The sequence below is a fragment of the Homo sapiens genome, chromosome 18 (genome assembly GCF_000001405.40).
Source record: "Homo sapiens chromosome 18, GRCh38.p14 Primary Assembly".
NCBI classification, from domain to species: Eukaryota; Metazoa; Chordata; class Mammalia; order Primates; family Hominidae; genus Homo; species Homo sapiens.
The window spans coordinates 75,360,114-75,361,196 of record NC_000018.10 but is presented as its reverse complement, the minus strand read 5'-3'; the positions used below and the strand labels follow the sequence as shown (position 1 = coordinate 75,361,196).

Genomic DNA, 1,083 nt, shown 5'->3' with positions numbered 1-1,083 from the left:
CCCATGAAGACACCTCAGCCCCACGTTCCCTCTGCACCACCTGGACGGGGACCCACTGCGGCAAGACCACACAGGCAGTCCCCTCACGGCCAGCTGGTCCTGCGGCCATGGACACGTGTTTGTCTCCATGCCCAGTATCTCCTGGAAGACAGCATTCCAGACACCCGAGAACCTGGCCAGGACACCCTCTAGTCTCAGACAAACGCAAGAAATCACTCAGCTAATGCTACCCCCACCTTGGAGAACAGAAGGAGTCCTGCCGGGAGATGGGGCCCTCCAATGTAGACTAATTGTCCTCATCACCCAAGTTCTGGGCTGGTGCTGCTAGACTCCCTCTCTGTCCCCCACCTCTCCCACCTCTCAGCTCCTCCACCTGCTCACCTCCTCCACCCCAGCCACCGCCTGAAGCCAGCAGAAAGGTCTGAGCAGCTTCTCCCTCCAATCCTCCAGAAGGAGCCCACCCTGCCAACACCATGATCTGGGACATCTGACCCCCAGAGCTGTCAGACAATGAATTCCTGTGCTACGACGCCAGGTGTGTGGCGCTTTGTGAACAGAGCCCTCACCTGTAGAACTCAGCGTAGCACAGGGAGGTGGTCCTGGACCATGCTGGTGGGCCTGATGCAATTGCATGTGTCATCACAAGAAGGAGGCAGAAGGGGCTTTGCCCGCAGGAGACAGAGCCAAGCAATGGAAGCAGAGAGAAGCCGACTCACAGAGAGGCTGTGCTGCTGGCTTGGACAACGGGGGCAGTGACCGTGACCCACAGAACACAAGGAATGCAGCTCTTGGTGTTGGAAAGGAAAGGAATCGAATTCCTTCCTGGACCACCCAGAGGGAATCCGGTCCTGTCAGCCCTCGATTTCGACTCACTGATGCTGAGTTCAGACTAGTGGCTTCTAGAAATAGGAGAGAATACATTTCAATTGTTTTCAACCTTCAAGTTTGTGATCATTTGTTACAACAGCCACAAGAAACTAATGCGGCCACCATAGACTGGGTGTTTTTCCACGTATTTGGAACCAAACTAAGCATTTCATAGATGTTATTACATGTAGCCCTTGGGAGTAAATTATATTGTCC

The 1,083-nt window shown here is 54.2% G+C and overlaps 2 annotated features.

Annotated features, from left to right (window-relative positions):
- Window positions 1-541: an enhancer, noted in NCBI's record as "H3K4me1 hESC enhancer chr18:73072611-73073151 (GRCh37/hg19 assembly coordinates)". NCBI's record gives its function as "activates a minimal SCP1, AML or CMV promoter by ChIP-STARR-seq in naive and primed H9 embryonic stem cells {active_cell/tissue: H9 hESC(naive and primed)}" and the evidence as "EXISTENCE:reporter gene assay evidence [ECO:0000049][PMID:30033119]".
- Window positions 542-1,083: an enhancer, noted in NCBI's record as "H3K4me1 hESC enhancer chr18:73072069-73072610 (GRCh37/hg19 assembly coordinates)". NCBI's record gives its function as "activates a minimal SCP1, AML or CMV promoter by ChIP-STARR-seq in naive H9 embryonic stem cells {active_cell/tissue: H9 hESC(naive)}" and the evidence as "EXISTENCE:reporter gene assay evidence [ECO:0000049][PMID:30033119]".